At 42.7% G+C, this 2,461-nt stretch overlaps 1 annotated feature.

Annotated features, from left to right (window-relative positions):
* Window positions 212-1,411: an enhancer, noted in NCBI's record as "MED14-independent group 3 enhancer chr5:97386261-97387460 (GRCh37/hg19 assembly coordinates)". NCBI's record gives its function as "activates an origin of replication core promoter dependent on BRD2, BRD4, P300/CBP and CDK7 cofactors, and independent of MED14, by STARR-seq in HCT116 cells {active_cell/tissue: HCT116}" and the evidence as "EXISTENCE:reporter gene assay evidence [ECO:0000049][PMID:35650434]".

A 2,461-nucleotide genomic window follows, 5' to 3' on the forward strand; every position in this document is an offset into this window, starting at 1 on the left:
TCAGAAGAACCAAAACTCAGGTGCGCAATCACAATACCTGGTTTTAACATCCTATCAAGGAAAGAGGCACAGACGAGGATAGGAAAGACAGTCTTGAATTGCTGACAACGCCTCTCCCCCAGCTCCTCAGCAGTGACCATGTGGCACAGAGGGAATCTGTACCCTTGGCAGAGAACAAGTGCAGTGATTGCAGGCTTTTGCATTGGAACTCAGTATTGCCCTGTCATAGCAGACAGCAAGATGGGGGAGAATTCAGATGGCACCCACAGAGGAAGCATTTAGATCAGTCCTAACCACAGAGGAATCTTCCATCACAGACGTCAGAACCTGAGTTACAACTAGCCCCATCACGATGGGCTAAATCAGTCTATGGTCCTAAATAAACTTGAAAGATGGTCTAGGCCACAAGGAATGGAATTCCTGGGCAAAGTCCTGGTGCTGTGATGAACTTAGAATGAGTGGACTTGGGGCGCTTGTGGCCTAGTGAGAAACCAGCTGAGTCATCCAAGAGAGTGCTTGCATCACCCCTCCTGCAACTCCAGGTAGTGCAGCTCACAGTTCCAGGAGAGAGACTCCTTCTTTCTGCTCCAGGAGAAAAAAAGAGAGTAAAGAGGACTTTGTCTTGCAACTCAGATACTCACTCAGCCACGGTAGGATAGGGCACCAGGCAGAGTCCTGAGTCCCCCCCATTCCAGACCCTAACTCCTTGATGACATTTCGAGATACACTTTAGTCCAGAAGGGAACCCACTGCCTTGGAGGGAAAGACCTAGTCCTGCAGGATTCACCACCTGCTGATTAAAGAGCCCTTGAATAAGCATCAGTGGTACCCAGGCAGTACTTGCTGTGGGCCTGGGTGAGACCCATGGTTGTGCTGGCTTCAGGTAGGACCCAGTGCATTCCCAGCTATGGTGGCCATAGGGAGAGACTACTTCTGCATGAGGAAAGGATAGAAAAGAGTGGAAAGAACTTTGTCTTGGGGTTTGGGTGCCAGCTCAGTCACAGTAGAATAGAGCAACAGTCAGACTCTTACAGTTCCCAACTCCAGGCTCCTAGATGGCATTTCTGATCCCATCCTTGGCCAGGAGGGGAAACTCACCACCCTGAAGGGAAAGACACATGCCTGGCTGGATTTGCCACCTGCTGACTGAAGAGACCTTGGGCCATGAGTGAATAGCAGCAGTAGCCAGTGAACATCACAGGTCTTGGGCAAGACTCAGTGCTGTGTTGATTTTGGGTCTGACCCACCACAGTCCCAGTGGTGGCAGCCATAGGGGTGCTTTTGTCACTTCTCTCACAGCTCAGCATGGAGAAACAGACTCCGTTTGTTTGGGGGAGAGTAAAGAAAGAGAACAATAGTCTCTGCCTAGTAATCTAAGGAATTCTTCCAGATCTTACTTGAGAACACCACGGCTATATGTCTACAATTCTGCAAGAGTCACAGTGTTACTGGGTTTGGGGTGCTGCCTAATGGCAGACGTTGCTGCAGCGACCAAAGATTTAGATTACAACTCTCAATTTACTTTGAATACTTGGAAAGCCTTCCCAAGAAGGATGGGTACAAACAAGTCCAGACTCTGAAGCCTACAGTGAATACTTAACTCTTCAATGCCCAGACATTGATAAACATCCACAAACATCAAGACCATCCAGGAAAACATGACCTCACCAAACAAACTAAATAAGGCAACAAATCCTAGATTGACAGAGATATGTGACCTTTTGACACAGAATTCAAAATATTTGTTTTGAGAAAGCTCAACAAAATTCAAGATAACACAGAGAAGGAATTCAGAATCCCATCAGATAAATTTAACAAAGAAATAATTTTTTTAATCGAGCAGAAATTCTGGATCTGGAAAATTCAATCAACACACTGAAGAATTCATTAGTCTCTCAACAGCAGAACTGATTAAGCAGAAGAAACAGCAGAACTGATTAAGCAGAAGAAACAATTAGTAAGCTTGTAGACAAACTATTTGGTTAGAGGAGACAGAAAAAAACAATAAAAAAGAATAAATCATTCCTGCAGGACCTAGAAAACAGCCTCAAAAGAGAAAATCTAAGTTATTGACCTTAAAAAGGAGATAGAGAGAAAGATCAGAAGAGAACATTTATTCAAAGAGATAATAATAGAGAACTTTCCAAACACAGAGAAAAATAACAATATTGAAGTAGAGAGAGTTATAGAATACCAAGCAGATTTAACCCAAATAAGACTACATTAAGACATTCAGGCTGAATGAAATAAATAAAATTGAAACTAAAAACAATACAAAAAAATCAATGAAATGAAAAGTTGATTTTTTGAAAAAAATAAACAAAATCAACAAATCTGTAGCCAGACTAAGAAAAGAGACAAGACACAAATAAGTAAAATCAGATATGAAAAAGGAGATATTATAATGGATACTCCAGAAACTCAAAGGATCATTAGAGACTACTATGAACAACTGTATGCA

This window comes from Homo sapiens, chromosome 5, assembly GCF_000001405.40.
Source record: "Homo sapiens chromosome 5, GRCh38.p14 Primary Assembly".
In the NCBI taxonomy this organism is placed as follows: domain Eukaryota; kingdom Metazoa; phylum Chordata; class Mammalia; order Primates; family Hominidae; genus Homo; species Homo sapiens.